At 49.3% G+C, this 15,238-nt stretch overlaps 1 long non-coding RNA gene across 1 annotated transcript, besides 1 other annotated feature; it reads left to right on the top strand.

The window, feature by feature from the left end:
- The first annotated feature begins 5,346 nt into the window (after window positions 1-5,346).
- Window positions 5,347-9,845, top strand: LOC107985835 (uncharacterized). Its single transcript, XR_001739232.1, has 3 exons — window positions 5,347-5,506; window positions 6,888-7,020; window positions 9,695-9,845. It is a non-coding gene; the product is annotated as an uncharacterized LOC107985835 (long non-coding RNA).
- Window positions 7,806-8,015: an enhancer, noted in NCBI's record as "active region_17150". NCBI's record gives its function as "activates an Ori minimal core promoter by ATAC-STARR-seq in GM12878 lymphoblastoid cells {active_cell/tissue: GM12878}" and the evidence as "EXISTENCE:reporter gene assay evidence [ECO:0000049][PMID:35858748]".
- Window positions 9,846-15,238: the final 5,393 nt, after the last annotated feature.

Here is a 15,238-nt window from a genome sequence, read left to right as displayed (position 1 = left end):
GCTCATAGGCCATGGTCGGGAATTTAGCGTTTATTCAAAAGTGTAAATGAGGTGATCCATTGGATGGTGTTAAGCAAGGGAATAACATGCTTTAATTTATATTTTGGAAAGCTTCTCCTGGTGCTTAAGAGATTACAGGGAGGCAAGAGTGGAACAACAAATATTCAACAAGAACGACTGAGCACCTACAGTACACCAGACACAATCCCAGACTCCTAGAACACACCCCAAGTCATTAGTTACTCCAGGCAACTAGATGAGATTCAATTTCTGTAACAGGTGAAAGACGATGGCCAGCTGGGCATGGTGGCTCACGCCTGTAATCCCAGCACTTTGTAAGACTGAGGCAGGAGGTTCACTTGACCCTGGAAGTTTGAAACCAGCCTAGGCAACATAAGATCTTGTCTCTATTAAACATTTACAAAAATAAAAATAAAAGAAAGATGATGGTGGTTTGAACAAGGGCAATGGCATTGGGTCTGGGAAAAATGTAAACTGTAAGAGAAAATTTTTGCAGGGAGAAACCTGAACAATGCATAGGAGGTGCCACTGACAGAGAGGGAGCATCAAAAAGAACAGTAATAGCCAACGTTAATTGAGTGCTTCTGATGTATGCTTATGATGTGCTGGTCCCATCATATTTCTAAATCCTTCAAAGGTGTTAAACTTATTAATCCTTCTAAGAACACTGTAAGCTAGACGCTACTGTCAAACTCATTTTACAGGTGAGGGAACTGGGGCACAGAGGAAGCAAAAAACTGCCTGCAGGTATTTGGATTTGGCTCCAGCACACTGTCTTTTTTGCCCGGAGAGGGGTAGGAAGAGAGAGACAGGGTCTTGCTCTGTCACCCAGGCTGGAGTACAGGATCACGATTCACTGCAGCCTTGACCTCCCGGACTCACATGAGCCTCCCACCTCAGCCTCCCAAGTAGCTGGGACCACAGGTGCCTGCCACCACACCCGGCTAATTTTTAAATTTTTTTTTAGAGACGGGGTCTAACTATGTTGCCCAGGCTGGTCTCAAACTCCTGGGTTCAATCTATACTCCCACCTCAGCCTCCCGAAGTACTGGAATTACAGGCGTGAGCCACCGCACCCGGTCCCAGCACACTATTTTAACAAGTAAGGGACACTGCTTCTCAAGAAGGACACCCAGTGCCATTTGCCAATATGCAATTCTGGATTTTATCAAGCCCCCCCCCCCATCGTTAATCCCTGGTGATAAGAAGTGGGAGTGAGGGGGAGGCAATATGGTGTGTGGGGGTGTGTGTGTGTGTGTGTGTGTGTGTGTGTGTGTGTAGGCGGGTAGGGGGTTGGGATTCTAGATAGGGGTCGACCATATTCAGGCAACACCCCACTCTTAAAAGCAGGACTCTGACGCCAAGACACGGGAGAGCCGGGGTTGGGGACCTTGCTGCAGCCGGCCTCCGACTGGCCGCGCTGCGGAGAGAGGGACGCGCAGAGCCGCCTGGCCTGGCTCTGGCCGCGGTCGCTGCGGTGCAGGCGGGGCAGCGCGCGCCCAACAAGATGCGGGGGCCCCTGCGCGCGCATGGGGCTCGGGGCCCAGCGGGGGTGCCTCTGATTCTCTGCTTCCTGCTGCTGAGCAGCCGCCCGGGGGGCTGGGACGCCATTAGTCCCCACCGTCAGGAGGAAACCTGGGGGAAGGGCAGGGGCGATCCTGAGGGAGGGCTGCGGGTTGGTGGGTGCACACAGCTCAGAAGCTAGGGAAGTGTGCGGGATGGGAAGAGAAAGCCAGAGGGCGTCTTGGAAGCGGGGTCTTAAACGTCGGAAGACGGGGTGGAAACTAGAACTACAAGAACTCCAATTCGGAGTTGGGCAAGAGGGAGTGCCCAAGGGACCGAGATCCGGGCCATGTGAGACGCGCTGAGGGGTCAAGGCAAGGTGCCCAGCGCTGGGGGGTTGGCATCTCCGGCAGGAGTCCGGAGCGCGGGCATCCAGTCCCCACCTCGGGAAGAGCCCAGTCCTGGGCCGGGGCCTCCCCTCAACCTGGGGAGGCGGCTGGGGGAGGGCGCAGCAGAGGATTGGGAGGAATCCTAGCCTTCTCCGCACCCTGCACACCCCACACCCGATGGCCACGGGTTCCTCCACCTGGTGCTCGAGCTTGGACACCAATGCGGAGGGCTTCCTGCGGCGCGCTGTGTGGGCAGGGTGCCTGGTGGGCAGAGGGTCACGCCTGTGCGGATGCCTGGGTGCTCTCACCTTCCCCAGCTCCGCCCTCGCCTTTGGGAGCCACGTCAAACCAAACCCCGCCGCTGTGTGGGTCCAGGGCGTCAGCGCTGATGACAGCGGGGGGGGGGCGCCCAAGGTCGCTCTTTACTTATCAGTCCTGGGACTACTGCCTCAGTCCTGAAGTCCCTCCTCACGGGTAGGGTGCTGGGGTCTCTCTACACATATCTTCTTTTTCTTTGGAGTCTGTCTTTATATTTTATAATTAGCTTCTACTTACGCCAAGAAACACGGTTTTTTCCATTTACAGTAGCAAAGTTGCCCTTTAAAATAATTTCACTTGGCTGGGCGCGGTGGCTCACAGCTGTAATCACAGCACTTTGGGAGACCAAGGCGGGTGGATCACTTGAGGTCAGGAGTTAGAGACCAGCCTGGCCAACGCGGTGAAATCCCATCTCTACTAAAAATACAAAAATTAGCTGGGCTTGGTGGTGCGCACCTGTAATCCCAGTTGCTCGAGTGGCTGAGGAAGGAGAATTGCTTGAACCTGGGAAGCGGAGGTTGCAGTGAGCCAAGATTGCACCACTGCACTCCAGCCTGGGAGACAGAGTAAGACCCTGTCTCTAAATAAATAATAAATTTAAAATAATTTCACATAAATAAAAAGCATGAATCATCAACTTGAAGAGTAAGGCAGTAATAGCACAATGGTACAAAGATAAGTCAAAAATCATGTTGGTGGTTCTCAAATAACTAAAGTTTGGGGAACGCTGTGCTTCCATTTTGTTAAAGTTATTAGTGTTTTTTTGTCGTTCTTTGTCTGTTTGTTTGTTTGTTTGAGACAGAGTTTCGCTCTTGTTACCCAAACTGGAGCGCAATGGCGCGATCTCAGCTCACTGCAACCTCCACCTCCCAGGTTCAAGCGATTCTCCTGTCTCAGCTTCCGGAGTAGCTGGGATTACAGGCATGCACCACCATGCCCGGCTAATTTTGTATTTTTAGTAAGAGACAGGGTTTCTCCATGTTGATCAGGCTGGTCTCAAACTCCTGACCTCAGGTGATCTGCCCGCCTCGGCCTCCCAAAATGCTGGGATTACAGGCATGAGCCACTATGCCTGGCCAGTTATTAGTGATTTTTAAATAATGTTATTGACATATAATTCAGCCATTTAAAATGGCTTTTAGTATATTCACAGAGTTGCACAACCATCACCACAATCGATTTTGTAACATTTTCATTACCCCAAAAAGAAAACTGTGCCCATTAGCAGCCACTTCCCATTCCCTCCCCCAACCACCCTCCTCAGCCCTAGGCAACCACCAATGTACTTCCTATCTCTATGGGTTTCCCTATTCTGCACATTTCATATAAATGGAGTCACACAACCTGTGGCCTTTTGTGACTAGCTTCTTGCATTTAGCATAATATTTCCAGGGCTCTTCCATGTTGTAGCATGTATCAGCACTTCTTTTCTTGTAATTGATGAAGAGTATTCCCATTGTATCTTGTTTCTCCATTCATCAATTGATGGACATTTGAGTTGTTTCCACTTTGTAGCTATTATGAATAATGCAGCTATGAAATCCATGTACAGGTTTTTGTGTGGATATCTGTTTTCACTTCTCTTAAGTATACATCTAGGAGTGAAATTGCTGGGTCATATGGTCACTCTATTATTTAACTTTTTTTTTTTTTCCTTGAGATGGAGTCTGGCTCTGTTGCTCAGGCTGGAGTGCAATGGTGCGATCTCGGCTCACTGCAACCACCGCCTCCCAGATTCAATTGATTCTCCTGCCTCAGCCTCCCAAGCAGCTGGGACTACAGGTGTGCATCACCATGCCTGGCTAATTTTTGTATTTTTAGTAGAGACAGGGTTTCACCATGTTGGTCAGGCTGGTCTTGAACTCCTGACCTCAGATGATCCACCTGTCTCAGCCTCCCAAAGTGCTGGGGCTACAGGCATGAGCCACTGTGCCTGGCCTGTTTAACATTTTGAGAAACTGCCAGACTATTTCCACAGCAGCTGGACCACTTTACATTCCCAGCAGCAGTGTAGAAACATTCCAGTTTCTGCACATCCTCCCGAATGCTTGTTATTAACCATCCTGTTGATTGTAACCACTTTAGTGTGTGTGAAGTGGTGTCTCATTGTGGTTGTTTGTTTTGTTTTGTTTTGAGATGGAGTCTTGCTCTGTCGCCTAGGCTGGAGTGCAGTGGTGCGATCTCGGCTCACTGCAACCTCCACCTCCTGGGTTCTAGTGATTCTCCTGCCTCAGCCTCCTGAGTAGCTGGGATTACAGGCACACGACACCATGCCTGGCTAATTTTTGTGTTTTTAGTAGAGATGGAGTTTCACCATGTTGGCCAGACTGGTCTCGAACTCCTGACCTCAAGTGATCCACTTGCCTCGGCCTCCCAAAGTGCTAGGATTACGGGCATAAGTCACCACGCCCAGCCTAATTGTGGTTTTGATCTGCATTTCCCTGATGGCTCATGGAGTTCAGCATCCTTCCATGTGCTTATTGGCCAGTTGTTTATCCTTTTTAAGAATGTCTGTTCAGATTTGCCCCCATTTTTAAATTGGGTTATTTGTCTTTTTGCATGGGGCCCTCGCCTTTTTTGGCATCATTATTAGGATCTACTTGTGAACTGGAGGAGGAGAAAAATTAGGATGGGAAAAGCCTGGCTTCTCTTCCAACTGGCCCCATCTGCCTGGATGGAGATGATCCGTATCCAGGAGGAGGGTCTGTATCATAGAAAGGTCATCCCCTCATTGTGAGTTGGGTATACCGTGGCTTCCAGGAAAATGATCTGGACTCGCCAGCCCTGTCTGAAGCTAGGTTCCATGCTGTAGTCTTCCAAGGATTCCAGAACTCCTCCCAGGAAGCAACTGAACTTCCCCCATTATCTAGCCTGCCCACCTGTCTGTCCATTCAGTTTTTGTAGCCATCTGAGACTCTGTTCAAGTGTCCCTCCACAGCCTGCCTCTTTGCCTGAAGACTCTGTTCTTACCTAGAAGTCTGTACCAAGAGTGCATGAGACCCAGAATATGAAGAGGGTGGCCAGGGAGGGAGAGAGGATAGATAGCTCGGAAGTGGGAGGAGACCGGCAGAGGAAGGGAGACGTGGGGATATGGGAGTGACAATGGAGAGGATGCTGCCTTTTGAAGGCTTTTGGCCCAGGTACCTACTCATTTCATTCTCATTCCCTTAGAGGGGCAGACCCAGGTGGGAGTACTGCAGGCCACGCCCCTCGAAGACAGCATCCACGTGGTCTTCCGATACTAGCAAGGTGTGCTCGGCAGCCGGTGCCTCAAGGTGAGACCTGGGAGGGCTGGAGGAAAGGGACTGGGTTTGGTCAAATATAGGGGTAGATACTATAGAGGGAATCTCCAACTTGACATTAAAACCTCCTCCCTTAAAATTCCCTGCCTGAAACTTTCTCATCATACCGCCTCTGGAGCCTCACCTGCCCAGTCTCTGCTAGAGATGGGGCAAGACAGAAGTCATGGTGCAACCTAAGCTGGGGAGTCGTTCCCACGTGGACTCTAGAGGAACACAGCAGAGGCCACTGGAAGTCCCCAGAAGAGGCCAGCATCTATCTCCTCGGGCCTGGCTCACCACCCCTGGTGCTGTCTGACTGCTCCAGAGCTAGGAATCTTGCAGTCCTCAGCCAGAACCAGGTCCCTCCCACCCCCACACACATACTTCAGACTCTGAATTAAGGAGGTGGGCAGTTCAGAGAGTATGACAAGTGGAAGACATGAAAGGCCAGAGTGGAGGGTGGAAGGATATTTTTCCTGGGGAAAAGTATCTGACCCTTCCCTGAAAGCAGAGTGTGTGGCTTCAGGCTTCAGAAGGGAGATCCGCTTTGAGTTCAAATTACTACTAATAATCATAGTATACAATGTGTAATGTCCTAGGGTTCTAGAAGTACTCTTTTTTTTTGAGACAGGGTCTCGCTCTGTCACCCAGGCTGGAGTGCAGTGGCACTATCTTGGCTCACTGCAACCTCCGCTTCCCGGGTTCAAGTGATTCTCATACCTCACCCTCCCAAGCAGCTACGACTACAGGCATGCACAACCACACCGGGCTAACTTTTGTATTTTTAGTAGAGATAGGGTTTTATCATGTTGGCCAGGCTGGTCTCGATCTCCTGACCTCAAGTGATCTACCCGCCCCAGCCTCCCAAAGTGCTGGGATTACAGGCATAAGCCACCAAGCCTGGCCTGGAAGCACACTTTCTATCTTCAACCTTATTTGATTCTCACAGCAGCATCATTTAAAAATTCCTATTTGTCCCTTTCTAGCAGGTGTAGCTAAAAATAAAAGTAAAATACAGTTCTCATTTGATCACTTATTGCTTGCCAAACAATAAGCTAGGAAATGTGTGTGCACTATCTCCTTTCATTCTCTTAATGCTATGAAGTTCGTCGCTTCATGAGCGAGAAAATAGCTTCAGCAAGTTTAACTGTTTCTCATGGCCATAGAGCTAGCAAGAGCAAGGATTTAAGCCATGGCGGTGGGCAGAAGGCAAACTCCTGTACCCCAGTCAGTCTCCGGACCCCTCCACTGGCCCTCTGCATTGTGGTACCTGTGCATTTTGGGGAAAGGAAAAATTCTAATCACACTTTTGTTTCTGGGATGGGCCAATCAGAGTGCCCCAAGTGTCAATTCATCCCATCCTTTCACTCTGCAGGATTGTTCTGGAAGGATGACATCACTCAAGGTGTGAGGACCCAGCAGACAGAGCACACGCCCTGGCTCCATGCCCCAGAGGCCCATCTGAGGAGCGGACAGGCAGCCTTTCCCACCAGAGTCACCAGGGTGAGGTGTGTTGGGCCTACGGTTGGTCCGCACTGCACCTGCCGGTAGACAGAGTAGCTGGGAAGGGCATGAGTTATCAGGGCTGCAGGTAGGAGCCATCAGGAGCTCAGGGAATGGAACAATAAGAGCTCCCATCTGATTTCCACCAGAAGGAATCCACGATCCATTAGTGATGTCTGCAGAGGGAAGGGGCTGGAAAGTACAGTTCCCATTTGTTATCCCTGCTTAATCTTGGTTTTCTAGGAGCAAGCACAAGGAGACTCTTGTCCCCTAAAGTGAGTTTCCCTCAGAGATTTTGAAATCCTTCACTTCGGCCCCTTCTCTTTTCCTCTGGGCCTGTTCACCATTTTCTCCTCACTCTTGGCTCCTGGCTCCCCTCCCATCAGAACCCCATGACCAGGGTGAGCAGGGAGCAATGCTTTAAATCTGAAGCGGTTTCAGAGGTCCTGAACCAAGAGGTGACCAGCCACACCAAGGCCCTGCTCCAGGTAAGGGCCTGGCCTTGTTCAGGAAGCCTGAGCCCAGCAAGGGCTATTTCAAGAGGGAGGCAGAGTGATGGAGGGGATTGACATTGGCAGCATGAGGACTGACAGGGCTTCACTGAGGGCAGAGCCTCATGGAGAATCTTCTGGAAGCATGGGCCTGATGGATGGGAAGGAACACAGCTTTCCACACAGACAGACCCAGGCCAGTCCTGGCACTGCTGCTTCCCAGTCATGACCTTACTGAAGCTCTACAAGCCCTCCTTCCACATCGGTGGAGTGGTCATAATGGCCATCCTCCCTGGCTGCTGTGAGAATTAGAGGCAATGTAATAAAGGCCAGTCAGCAGTTCTGGATGGAAGGAAAATTCTTCATTTCCCCACTGGAGGGCGCCCCCACTTTCTCTGTCTCTCAGAGTCTCCCTTTCGTAGATTGCCGCAACTCAGGATGCAGGGACTGGGGCTTCCGATGGCTTGGTCCTGTACAATCAATCATGTGCACAGAAATTGAAGGGTCTGCAGAAATCTGCTTCAGAGGTTTTCCAATGTTTTTAAAAAACATATAGGCTCTCTGTGGGTTGGTCGTGGTGGTTCATATGCCTGTAATCCCAGCACATTGGGAGGATCACTCAGGGCCGGGAGTTCGAGACCAGCCTGGGTGACATAACAAGATCCCTGTCTCTACAAAAATTTAAAAGTGTGCTGGCACACACCTGTAGTCATAGCTACTCAGGAGGCTAAGGCAAGAAGATTAGCTTGAACTCAAGAGTTCAAGGTTATTGTGAGCTATGATTGCACCACTGCACTCCAGCCTGGGTGACAGAGTGAGACCCTGTCTCAAAAAACAAAAAACACAACCCCGCCCCCAACAAAAACATATGGGCTGTTTTTCTGAGAATTCCAAGTGTGCCATGACCCCAATCCTAACCTTACCCACCCTTACATATACATATGCTGTATACACATATATGTGCATGTGTATGTACGTGTGGGGGGCACTTCTCTCCCTGAGTTAGAGAGGAGGGCCCAGAGTCTCTCACATCAGCCCTCCAACCCCCTTGCTTATCTCTGTGGTGTTGACTAAGTCACCTGGGCAAGGCTCTCAGGCATCTCCTTGGGACCACTGAGCCCTTTGGAGCTCAAATAGAAAACTACCCGTCTTGTACCTCCAGCCATCTTTATAGATAAGAAGCTCAGGTCCAGCCTGGACAAGTGTGGAGCCAGGACTAGCCCCTGTATCCTGACTCCCAGCCGTCCCCCTGCACAGCCCCTACCCTTCCTCTCAGCGACCCCAGTAAAGGTTGGGTTGTTTCACACACCTTAGGCTAAGTAGGGCCTCAGGAGGTGACATTTAAACTTAGACCTAAATGACAAGGAGGCAGCCCGGGGGAGATCTGGAGGAAGAGTCTCCAAGGCAAAGAGGCTTTCAAATACGTCTGCTGTTAGATGAGATTCCAGGGCTTGTTGGGGGAACAGACACAGTCCTGTGACAGCAGATGAGCTTGGAAAATAGGCCCATGACTACTTGGAGCTTATAGTCCATAGACAGGGGGTCGGGTGTTATTCAAAGTGTAGTGGGAAGGCATTGGAGGATTTTTAAGGAAGAGAGTAGGACAATATGATAAGCATTTTATAAAGACACACTGATGCTGTTGGAAAATGGATTTTGAAATGGACAAGAGTGGAAACAGGTAGACCTGTTTGGGGCAACCAGGTTGTCCAGGTGGGATCCTGGGACCTGGGACTATGATCGTGGCAGTGGATCTGGGAAACTTCTAGATGGGCTCCATTAGGGCAACCTGTATCTCAGAGGTGCTCCAGCCCCTCAGCCCTTCAAGGAAACTGGTGGTCCCCGCCCCCCATCACCATGGCAGCAGGGCTCCTTTGCTTGGATTGTCTGCTGGGCCACATCATTAGTCTTGTGACTGACCCCATGATGGGGACTGGTTGCCATGGTTCTGTCAAGTATGCAAACAAGGAGCTGCTATGCCTCAGGCTCAGGCAACCTGAGAAACCCCTAATGTGTCTCTTGGAAAATCCTGGGAAGGAGACGGGATTAGAGATGGGGAACAAGGGAAGGGACTTGAGACTGCTATTGAGATTGGTTCTGCACTTGGTGGGGGAAGGGGAGAGGGAGGGGAGTGGCAACCACTGCCTGAGTGCATTAACTGAAAATCCCTTGTTTCTTCCCATTTTAGGACGTCTTTGAGCCATTCCCTACTCTGAGTCACAACCTCGTAGCTGATTAAGGCCACATGGGAAGCTTCCCATTCCTCATACTTCCCCTGATGCTCTCAGGAAGGACAATTTCAGGCTGAACCAAATCTGGATTATTAAAGTCAATTTTCAAAAAAAACTCAGCAGACTTGTCTGGAGGCAGAATTGGTGGCCGGGGGACCAAGCCAGAGCCTCCCAGGTGAGAGCTGGGAGAGGTGGGAGCCAAATGCAGGGAAGCCTGGGGAGTGGGTGCAGACAGCCAGCCCCTGGTTGTCCGAAGGCCTTGTTTCAGATGCCTTTTTCCTTCCATGGGTCATTTCTAAAGCAGGTGAAAGGCAGGGTGGCAAGGCAGCCATCCCCACGCAGCCTTCAGTTGTGTCTTACTGGTCTTCTTTCCCCTGATAGAAGGAAATCCACCCCCTCCAGACCCCAGGTCAAGCAGGTCTGGGCCCTGCTCTGCCTTCAGAGGTCCATGGTACCTGTTCAGCATTAGGGTCCCCTAAACGGCAGTCATACCAGCCCCACCCCAAGAATCCACAAACAATTCCACAGCCAAAGGCTATGCACATTTAACTTTTGGTACCTATGGTCAATTTTCCCCTGGGAAAGGGGAGTCTAGCCACCAATGTTCAACCCAACCAAGCTCCAGCAGGTCCCATGCTTCAAGTTTTATGTTTCTCAAAGCACCTGCACACTCAGCTCATTTATTTTGTTTTGTTAATTTTCAGTGTTCATTGGGTAGTCAGCTCATTCAATCCTCATAAGTGGGAGCACAAGGGAAAATATCAAGCCCCTCCACTATGGAATACAGAGAAATTACAAGAGAGTCCTTTAGTATACAGGCTCAATGATGCCACCAATATATGTCCTCTCCCCTGCCGCTTTGCTTGTAAGGACATCGATAAATATGATGCTCAACTAGTCATATTTATTTATACCTATTTTTATTAGCTAGGTTGACCCTTACCACCCACTTTACTTTTCCCCATCAAACATTTTACTTTCTTTTATGCAACCCACATTTGTAAAGATTTGTGCTTTACTGTGCCTGGCCTCTGCAATACATAGTTCCTGCCTCAAGGCAATTGAAGGCTAGGCAGGGAAGGAAGACATACATACGACGTACTTGTGCAACAGATATTGAACACCTGTGCAGCAGACCAGGCAGGTGCCCTGCCTCATATCCAATGGCCCATCTCTGAGGTTACCTGCAGCAAGCACGTGGACAACGTCTGTGTGCTGACAGCTTCCCACCTCGAAACCTGGAAACACTCTGATTCTCGTCCTGCGGGTTTTCTGGAACACCAGGAGAACTTGCACACCTGTGCACCAGACAGCCCTGAAGTGCCTGGGACTTAACACCCTCAGGGGCAATCATCAACACTTTAAAGGCTGAGTTAGCTGGGCGTGGTGGCTCACGCCTGTAATCTCAGCACTTTGGGAGGCTGAGGCAGGTGGATCACCTGAGGTCAGAAGTTCAAGACCAGCCTGGCCAACATGGCGAAACCCCATCTCTAAAACTACAAAAATTATCTGGACATGGTGGTGGGAGCCTGTAATCCCAGCTACTTGGGAGGCTGAGGCACGAGAATCTCTTGAAACTGGGAGGCAGAGGATGCAGTGAGCCAAGATCGTGCCATTGCACTCCAGCCTGGGCAACAAAGCAAGACTCTGTCTCAAAAAAAAAAAAAAAAAAAAAAAAAAGGCTGTGTTACTGGATAAATATTCCAATGTATCCTCCCCTCGGTGGGATAAATTTGAGACAACTTCCACAGGGATCCTCGGGAATCCCCAGCAGGGTCAATTCCCAATTGCCCACAGCAACAACCTGCTCACCAACATTCTGTGTATTGGCTTTTCTCCTTTCCTTCTCTCACTTTCCCCTTCCTTCACTTGTGCTTGCAGGGATGACCTGCCACCTAGACCACCTGCACCCGATCCTCTTTTCAAGGTTCCTTTTGGGTGAATCCAAACTAAGATGATCTATTATGTTTTGGGCTCAGTCCTAGGCACTAGGGATATAGTGGTGAACAAGACAAAGTCCTTGCTTCCATGAGCTTGGAGCTATTTAACGACGCTATAACCCACAGGAAAAAGTCCAGGCTTCTTATATGGTCCACATGGCCCTCAGTCTCCTGCCAGCCTCTCCTGTCTCATTTAAAGGCATTCTCCTTTCTGCCTGTGTGGATGCTTCAGCAATTCAGCCCCCACTCGTGTTTCTCAAATTGGGCCTTGCTAGTTCACACTGCTCAGCCCTTATACACACAGTACTCTCTACCCCCAAGTACCCACCAACACACCTTATCCATCTTATCCTAAAAATATGAGCTTAATATCCCCTTTTCTATTGTGCCTTCTCTGACCTTCCAATCATTTCTCCCGAGTTCATCACACTCTTCTCCATGCAAACTCAATGTTTAACTTTATACCTTGTAAGTAGGTATACCTTGCTTTTCCTTGGGGTCACTGTATATGACTGACTCATCTCTGTGTCATGGGTACCTAGCATAGTACCTAGGTACAGCCCAGGTACTCAACACATATTTATGGAGTAGAGTTAAATAAATATAGTGGAGAAAAAGAGCTACAGCTGGAAGACTGTACTGCGCCATCCATGAAATTGGTGAATTCTGTCCTTACAAATGGACCTCTCCACTCTGACAGTCTGTGACCCTTGATTGTACATGCAACTGGGTGATATGGGAAGGTCCCAGCACGGAAGAAACTTTTTGAGCTGGCCCTGGAGGTCTGGGGTGGATTTCAGTAGGAGGTGATAAAGTATGGACAATAGCATACAAGACAAAGAAGTTGGAAAGCAGGAAGATTAGTGGGTGAACGAGTAATTCTGGAACAGCTGGAGGTAAGTCTGGAAAAGTAGGTTTGGGCTTGATGATGGAGGGCCAAGTTTATAATTTAGGTCTCATTATTTTTTTTTTTTTTTGAGACAGAGTCTCGCTCTGTCGCCCAGGCTGGAGTGCAGTGGCGCGATCTCGACTCACTGCAAGCTCCGCCTCCCGGGTTCACGCCATTCTCCTGCCTCAGTCTCCTGAGTAGCTGGGACTACAGATGCTCGCCACCATGCCCGGCTAATTTTATATATATATATATATTTAGTAGAGACAGGGTTTCACTGTGTTAGCCAGGATGGTCTCGATCTCCTGACCTTGTGATCCGCCCGCCTCGGCCTCCCAAAGTGCTGGGATTACAGGCGTGAGCCACTGTGCCCGGCCTAGGTCTCATTTTTAAGAGGCCATGGGGAGCACTGACATTTTGTAGTCAAAGAAATAACATATTTGAAGGATGAATGCAGGAGGCGAGAGGGGGGGAAATATATGAAAAGGAGGTAGCCAATTAGAACAGTGATATGATGACTTACATATGCTCTAAGGGCCTGAAATTGGGCAGAGATGGAGCAAATGGAAAGGAGACACCTTTGAGAGTTGTGCTGAAGAGTGAGTTGAGAGGCCTTGGCAACTGTCTGGGTGTTGGGAGCAGGCCCCCCAAAATCTGGCCATAAACTGGCCCCAAAACTGGCCATAAACAAAATCTCTGCAGCACTGTAACATGTTCATAATGGCCCTAATGCCCAAGCTGGAAGGTTGTGGGTTTATGGGAATGAGGGCAAGGAACACCTGGCCCGCCCGGGGTGGAAAACCACTTAAAGGCATTCTTAAGCCACAAGCAATAGCATGAACGATCTGTGCCTTAGGGACATGCTCCTGCTGCAGTTAACCAGCCCAACCTATTCCTTTAATTCAGCCCATCCCTTCATTTCCCATAAAAGATACTTTTAGTTAATTTAATATCTATAGAAACAATGCTAATGACTGGTTTGCTGTTAATAAATATGTGGGTAAATCTCTGTTCGGGGCTCTCAGCTCTGAAGGCTGTGAGACCCCTGATTTCCCACTTCACACCTCTATATTTCTGTGTGTGTGTGTTTAATTCCTCTAGCGCCACTGGGTTAGGGTCTCCCCAACCCACCTGGTCTTAGCATCTGGGTTTCAGTGAAGAGATAAAGAGAGAAGCCACCTAAATTTAGAGAACTATTGCCTGGGAAAATAATCACGCTACTTACAGAAAAAGGGGTGACTGGAGGAGGAAGGATTTGAGAAAGAAATTTGGTTTACTCCTAAGAATTAAAGCCAGAGGCCGGCTCAGTGGCTCACGCCAGTAATCCCAGTGACTCAGGAAGCCAAGGTAGAAGGATTGCCTGAGGCCAGGCATTCAAGATCAGCCTAGACAATATAGTAAGACCCCCATATATACGAAAAATTTTTTAAATAGCCGGGTGTGGTAGCCTCTGCCTGTAGTCCCAGCTACTTGGGAGACGGAGGTGGGAGGATCCCTCAAGCCCAGGAGTTCGAGGTTATAGTGAGCTATGATCATGCTACTGCACTCCAGCCTGGGTGACAGAGCAGGACCCCATTTCTAGGGGGAAAAAGTAAAAAGAAGAAAGAAAGAAAGAGAGAGAGAGAAAGAGAGAGAGAGAGAGAAAGAGAGAAAGGAAGGGAAGGGAAGAAGGAGAAAGGAGAAAGGAGGGGGAAAGGAGGGGAGGGGGCGGGGGAGTGAGAGAGGGGCAAGCCAGAGGCCTATTCAGGATCATCACTCTAGAAATTCTCTCCTCTCTTGGCCGGGTGCAGTGGCTCACGCCTATAATCCCAGCACTTTAGGAGGCCGAGGCGGGTAGATCACCTGAGGTCAGGAGTTTGAGACCAGCCTGACCAACATGGTGAAACCCTGTCTCTACTAAAAATACAAAAATTAGCCGGGCATGGTGGCGGGCACCTGTAATCCCAGCTACTTGGGAGGCTGAGGCAAGAGAACTGCTTGAACCTGGGAGGCGGGGGTTGCAATGAGCTAAGATCGTGCCATTGCACTCCAGCCTGGGCAACACAGCGAGACTGTATCTCAAAAAAAAAAAAAAAGAAGAAGAAAGAAATTATCTCCTCTCTTTTCTTTATCATTTTCTCCTCATTTCTAGACACCTCCCATAAACATACAAACATCCTGGAATAGCTCCAATATTAAAAACAGAAGAACAACAGAAAACTTGATTTCTGCTCCTGGCAATGGTAGACTTGATAATTTAAACAAATCTTGCTGAAGACACCTTGTCTTAGTTTGTGTTTAGCCCCCAACTTCCCCCAAGAGTTCAACAATTGGGCTTAAATGCAGGTACCTTATTTTTGGCTATGATCCTAAAGAACAGGTGTTGGTCGGGGGAGTGAGAAATTAAAACTGGAAAGTAGGGAAAATCAATTTAAGCATGTGTAATTGAACTACTTACCACTGTGGACAACTAAGATTCAAGCTCACTGGCAAATCTTGAGGAGCCAAGGAGAATATGCCTGTGATTTTTTTGCCTAAGACTGAGGGGAGGGCAGTGCTTATTGACCAGCTTCTGTCCCTGATTAGTCAAGGATAGCCCAAGTCAAGGAAATCTGTATATAGAGGAGGTTTGTTCATGCATTAGGATGGCTGAGTAGATTCTTGCAGGCACCCGTCACCGCAGGGACAGATAA

This window comes from Homo sapiens, chromosome 2 (genome assembly GCF_000001405.40).
Source record: "Homo sapiens chromosome 2, GRCh38.p14 Primary Assembly".
Classification (NCBI taxonomy): Eukaryota; Metazoa; Chordata; class Mammalia; order Primates; family Hominidae; genus Homo; species Homo sapiens.
This window is presented reverse-complemented; position numbering and strand designations above follow the sequence as displayed.